Source organism: Homo sapiens, chromosome 3 (genome assembly GCF_000001405.40).
Source record: "Homo sapiens chromosome 3, GRCh38.p14 Primary Assembly".
In the NCBI taxonomy this organism is placed as follows: Eukaryota; Metazoa; Chordata; class Mammalia; order Primates; family Hominidae; genus Homo; species Homo sapiens.
The window spans coordinates 190,227,207-190,232,883 of record NC_000003.12 but is presented as its reverse complement, the minus strand read 5'-3'; the positions used below and the strand labels follow the sequence as shown (position 1 = coordinate 190,232,883).

General features: G+C 38.5%; 1 annotated feature.

The window, feature by feature from the left end:
- Window positions 214-1,413: an enhancer, noted in NCBI's record as "BRD4-independent group 4 enhancer chr3:189949260-189950459 (GRCh37/hg19 assembly coordinates)". NCBI's record gives its function as "activates an origin of replication core promoter dependent on BRD2, P300/CBP, MED14 and CDK7 cofactors, and independent of BRD4, by STARR-seq in HCT116 cells {active_cell/tissue: HCT116}" and the evidence as "EXISTENCE:reporter gene assay evidence [ECO:0000049][PMID:35650434]".

Below are 5,677 nucleotides of genomic sequence, written 5' to 3'. Positions count from 1 at the left end.
TTCTCACTGTAATGCACTAAACAGAGACAATCATCTGGGGACTTGTTCTCATTTTGTGAGTGACTCTGAGTCTATCTACTCATTGAGGGTTTCCACAGGTATTTTACCTTAAAGCTCTCTTGAATTTGTGGGTGTCTTCTGTGCTACATCCTAGGGATGGAGAGGAAGGAGGTGAGATATTTTGGGACCATTGGTCTCCATCTGGAAAGCCAATTGAGCTAACTCATGAGGATTTTAAGGGACATGATATGTACCTCATCACTAAATAAAACTAAGGTTGGCACATCTGGTAAGCCAGGAAGCTTCAGGATATAATCATAGTATTTTTATTATCCCCTGGATGTTTCATTTTTTGGTTCGTATGATTCTTTTTTCTGCCCATATACAGTGTGTATTTTACACTAAGTGAGGTGTGGTTAATCCCATAGTTCTCTGCTGTAAGAAATCACTGATGATACAGTTTTGTCAACCACTGTCTGTTTACTGCTATCACAAACATATTTTCTGTGATAAGTTGGGAATCTGTTAAGAAAGAGAAAGATGAAGGACATCCAGTAGCAAATTTCAAGCACTTGTAGTAAGCAACTGAATCAGGCCTTCACCTAAGAACAGAAATAGACTCTTTGCTCCAAGTGGCCCTTCAAGTGGATGCCTTGAGGCATCCTGAAGAAGTCTAGTCAGCTGCTGAGTTTGAGCAATTCCAGGGGCGGTACCTTATAATAGTGGCATTCTGATGATGAGATCAGCCAAGAATGAATTCACAGAAAGACCTCAGAAAGTCTGACATCATTTGAGATCCTCAATTATCCAAGCAAAAGAAGAAGAATGTGAAATGGGAACTTCCCCTGACATCTTGGCACAAACCCAAAGCGTCTGAATGTCCCACAAAAGGAAGCACTTCTTCCTCTGCTTCTGTAATTTTTTACTGAGTCATGAGATAGGGTTATATAAGTAGGGTATTTTAAATAAATTAGTGGATCTTAAAGTCAGAAGGGATTACTGGAGGTCACATCTGGTTTCAAGGTAGGTCCTCATAATGTAATATCCAAGAGAGATGAATGGAACAGAAGACATCTGTAGTGGGAAAAACATAGGCTTTAGAGTCAGAAAGTGTCTTTTTTTTTTTTTTTTTTTTTTTTGAGACAGTGACTTGCTCTGTCACCCAGGCTGGAGTGCAGTGGTGCAATCTCACTCAGCTCACTGCAACCTCTGCCTCCTAGGTTCAAGTGATTCTCGTGCCTTAGCCTCCTGAGTAGCTGAGATTACAGACACGTGCCACCACACCCAAATAATTTTTGTATTTTTAGTAGAGATGGGGTTTCACCATATTGGCCGAGCTGGTCTCGAACTCCTGACCTCATGTATCTGCCCACTTTGCCCTCCCAAGGTGCTGGGATTATAGATGTAAGCCACCACACCCGGCAGAAAGTCTACTTTTAAATCCCTCAGCTACCACACATGGCCATGTGGAGGGCAAGGTATTAACAATATTGTTTTTAATAAAATAGTCTTAAGAAGTAGGTGGCGTTATGTAGCTGGATGTACCTCATAGGCCAGCGAATCTCAAACTTGAACAGGCTAGGCATACAAATTACATGAAGATCATGTTAAAATACAGATTGTAATTTGGTTGGTCTGGAGTAGGGCCCGGTAATGTGAACTTCTAACAAGCTCCCAATGGTGGCCCATGCACAAAGCACGTTTTGAATAGCATGGTGGTAGAGAGTAAAATGTCACACAGAATTGGTTATTATTTGCTTATTTTAACAGGTTTTCAGGAAACAATATTCTTTAGCCTTTATGTTTTAATTTTCCCCCTCCTTCACTGACTTCTACCCTAACCCTCCACATTAAACCATATATCTGGTAAGAATGCTCATGCTCACCTAGCATAGTGAGCCCTACTAAAAACAACAACCAACAATTTCGTAGAAGAGTAGGCTTTGAAGAAAGTGACTCTTTTTCAACAGTTTTTGCATACAATACTTTCACAATTATCTCTGTGTATATCAGAAATTTGGGAATTATGCTGAGGCAAAGATATTTTTAAAGGAGTGCTTGCTGAATTGCAAGCGAGAATGGAAGGGGTTTTATAAGAAGAATCCCTTGGAAATCATATATCATGAAAAATGTATCAGGTATATTTGTACATCTGTGTAATGTTTTATATATTTTATGATTTTCAGGGCATTTTCACATATGGCTCTTCATTCATTCTTTAAGAAAAAGGTAGGCTAGGCAGGTGTCATTAGCCCCATTTCACAGGTGATGAAACTGGAATGTGGGGAGATGAAGTGAGTTGCTCAAAGTTATACTCATCCAGTTGCCACAACACAAAGACAAAATCCAGTTCTGAATTCTAATCCACTGCCCTTTTCTTTGTCTCCTCCTTCACCATGATTTCCATAGTGGCTCAGAAAAAGTTATGGTTTGGTTTCTCAAACTCTGGTTATGAGTGAGGCTGCCAGTAGAAGAAGGTAAAAGGTGGCAGATATCCCAGATTCAGTTACTGTGGGATACTGCATCAGCAGGGAGCCCATTAATGTAGATATCTCTCATTCTCATCAGATGAAAACCTACTCTAACCTTGAATTTTTAGATGATTCATTTGTTTGTTTCATTTCCAGCCAAGAATTCAATGTCCTATTCCCTTTGGCATGTTTACAGATGAGAGTTAGAGCCTGGAGGTGGAGCGCAACTTGATTATTACAATCATCCAAAATGGGTGGCTGATTTTCTACTCTCTAAAAATATTCTTACCTTTCTTCTTCCGTACTCTACAATATGTCCCTGACCACTTCCACTCATAGTGATCTCAATCTAGTTCCCTGTTCATGTTTCACTCGACTGTGTGTGTGTGTGTGTTTCATGACCTATGAAATTGGGAATTCCTTGTGGACAGGAGCAAACATGTTTCAGTTTCATTTTACATTGAATGATTGAAATGAGAAAAAAAAAGATGCAGAGTAAAAAGTACATTTCATTTGGAGTCAGATGATCTGGATCAACTACTTGTTAGCCATGTTACCCAAACCACTTAAACTCTGAGCTTTTGTTGCCTCATCTAGAAAATGAGAATAGTAGTACCTACATCACAGTACTGTTATGAAAAGTGAATGAAATATGCGTGAAATTATTTTGCAAACTCATAAGAGCTGTATCTGTGTAAAGAAGGTATTTGTATTTATTTTAAAAATAATGTACATTAAATGAGAGGAGTCTGCTTGTAGCATCAGTCATAAATGTATTTTCTCCCCTCAAAAGCAATTTGCATTTCTATGTTCTGCTATACAAAGAAATATAGACACATGAAACAATACTATTAAAAACTGATTTTCTCAATGTGGAAAAGATAAAAGTTCTAGAATATGCTGCAATAAGATATAATCCAGATGCTGAAAATGTTCACTACAAGCTGTCAACACTAGGTGCATGAAAGTCAGATACTAGGATTTAGGTTTTGGCCTAAGAATTTTCCTTTTAAATTCTCAATATTCCTCAGAAATCTTAAGTTAATACCCCGAAAGAATAAAAATGATTCATTTCTCAGACTGAGAATCCCAATATAAGGAGAACATACATGCCTACCACCTCCTCTGGAAGTGATTCTAAAAACCCAAACTCACCCATCCCTTCCTACTTACCCACTTTCTGTGGGTACCACATCAGATGCTTCCCATTCTTGGTCTTGAGACCATTCCATAGCTTTTCTCTCCTCTCTCTTACTATAAATGAGCCACCATCACACACATAACAATAGCTGTCACATGTTGAATAACTATGGAGTGTCAGCAGCTGTATTGGTAATTTTGATTGTATTGGTAATATTGATATACATATTGGTAATATTGATATACATATTGGTAATATTGATCTACATCTGACAAGAAGTTTATTCTTGTCCCAGTGTTATAGAAACCAAGACCCCAAGAATCTAAGTACATTGTTTAAAGTCTTTCTGTGGATTGGAGAGGACCAGGATTTATCTGAGTCCCTGTGATACTTTGCTCTCCTCTTATCATTAAACAGCATTGTCTCTCTGTCAAAGCCTCACCTTTTTTCTTTCAAAAATATTTTACTTACATGAACTAATTTTTTTAAACTGGTTTTAATCATTTGGATCTATTTATGCACTCTTTCAAATGAAATGAAACATCTTCCAGACAAATTTTTTCTGAATCAAATTGAAAACAACAAATAATATATAAATAAAGGTTTGAATAATGTTGAAAGTGTACAGCATTACCTGTATGTAACAAAATATTTCTTTTTTAAGGAGAAGGGAGAAGCTGAATTTTTAAAAAGTCACTCAATTATGAAGCAAAGCCTCAAGTTCTAGTCATTGCCCTATAACTAACTTCTTGTGTGATCCTGGGTAATTGTCTTCTCCAGACCTCAGATATTTCACTTACATATTGAAGAAGTTCCATGAAACGCCACTTGCATATGGGCTGCCACCTTGTGATATTAGCTTTTCTAGTTTCATTCTCCATCTTTCCACACGCACGTCCCCATCATTCCTCTCCTTGTCTTCCAATTTATCCTTATTTGGCAATTAGTATCTTGCTCAGGCATGTTTTATGTGTTTTCCAATGCAATATCCACACTATTTTTAACTTATCCATGTACATGTAAAATCGCGTATATCACCACTTGTAAACAAACCACATTTTGAGGAAACCAGGTTTCCTGTTTGGAGCTGCTTGGAGTTCACGAGGAAGCCATCCTCATAATAGGCAACGTGAATGAAGACCAACCAAGGAAAAGTCCAGCTGAGAATGGAGCCACAGCCTTAGCTGTCCTCATTCCCCAGCCTTTAGGTTGCTCCTGGTTGAACCTGTCCAGTTCACTAGGTCTTCCGGTCCAGGAACTGCTTCTGTCACTATCTGGGACCACCTTTCTGGGGCTTGTTCTATGTTGACCGATGCATGGACAAATTCATTTTCACCACCAAGTTGACACCTTATTAGAAAATTGATGGAAAATATAAACCAAACACAAAAGATAAAGAAGCACATTAAGTGGTGAGGTAAAAATGGCACAAACTTCTAATTGTGCCCCAGTCCACCTTCTTGAGGAAGAAGATAATTGCCTATCTGGACTGCATATTCATCTTCTGAATATCAGAACACCCTAAACTGCTTGGCATTGTCCATTTAATCACTCCTAGAAGTCATTCTGACATTGGGTCCCTGGGCAGCGTGATGTAAAGTAAGACCTGGTTTTTCTGTCTAATTTCCTGATTATGTGGAGAAACAAACACACTTGGAAATCAGACCGAACTGATTGCAGCCCTAGATCCATGACTGCCGGTTGTGTGGCATGAATAAGTGAATTAACAGATCTATGCCTCAGTTAACTTATGTGTACTATGGGAAAACAATAGTTTCCTCCAGTGGATTTTGTGAGATTTAAATAAAATAGCATGGGTGAAATATCCAGTGCAGCATCCGGTAGAGTTCTATTTCCATTTTCAGTATATGAAACATGCTTACAAGCCAGCCACTATTGTTGGAAGTGTATGGTTTCTTTAGTTATACTTAAATGATATTTCTATCTGTGCCAGTGAGAGGAACTACCCAATGGGTGCTTTTCTACTTCCTGTCAGCTCCTTTGGCAAGACATTCATATCAAAAACCTGACTCTCACTATGTTCCTGCTTCTGGTCTGTGGGGAG